The following is a 928-nucleotide window of genomic DNA, read 5'->3' on the forward strand; positions in this document are numbered from 1 at the left end:
TTTAGTAAGTCAGCAAGAAATAAACATTAAAATTGGGCAAAGGACATGAACAGACACTTCTTAAAAAAACATACAAGCAGCCAACAAATATATGGAAAAAATGTTAACATCACTGATCATCAGAGAAATGCAAATTAAAACCACAAGGAGATACCATCTCACACCAGTTAGAAGGGCTATTATTAAAAAGTCAAAAAATAACAGATGTTAGTAAGGATGCAGAGAAAAAGGAACACTTATACACTGTTGGTGGGAATGTAAATTAGTTCCACCCCTATGGAAAACAATATGAAGATTTCTCAAAGAACTAAAAATAGATCAATCTACTATACGACCCAGCAATTCCCATTATTGGGTATCTACCTAAAGGAAAAGAAATGATTCTTTCAAAAAGATACCTGCAGATCCTTTTGCAGTTCATGAACATGATGATTGGGTGTTCATGCTCATGTGTGAGATGTGCCACCCTCTGAATCTTGTTATGACATCAGCACATTATCCATCTGACCTGAAAAGGAAAAAAAAAGGCACTTGCACTCGTATATTTATCACAGCACTATTCACAATAACAAAGGCATGGAATCAACTTATGTGTCCATCAATGGTGTATTGGATAAAGAAAATGTGATACGTGTACACCATAGAATACTACATAGCCATAAAAATGAATAAAATCACATCCTTTGCAGCAACATGAATGGAGCTGGAGACAATAATCCTAAGTGAATTAATGCAGAAACAGAAAATCAAATACTGCATATTCTTACTTACAAGTGAGAACTAAAGAATAGGTTCTCATGAAAATAAAGATAGAAGCAATAGAAACTGGAGACTCCAAAAGGGGAGAGGGAGTGAGGGAGCAAGAGTTGGAAAAACTACTTACTGGATACTATGTTCACTATTTCAGTGATAGGTTCACTAGAAGCCC

The 928-nt window shown here is 35.2% G+C and overlaps 1 non-coding gene across 1 annotated transcript; it reads left to right on the forward strand.

Annotated features, from left to right (window-relative positions):
- Positions 1-404: 404 nt before the first annotated feature.
- On the forward strand, positions 405-509 carry LOC124905594 (small nucleolar RNA U13). The gene has a single exon (XR_007096314.1). It is a non-coding gene; the product is annotated as a small nucleolar RNA U13 (small nucleolar RNA).
- The last annotated feature ends 419 nt before the right edge of the window (positions 510-928 follow it).

The sequence above is a fragment of the Homo sapiens genome, chromosome 3, assembly GCF_000001405.40.
Source record: "Homo sapiens chromosome 3, GRCh38.p14 Primary Assembly".
Classification (NCBI taxonomy): domain Eukaryota; kingdom Metazoa; phylum Chordata; class Mammalia; order Primates; family Hominidae; genus Homo; species Homo sapiens.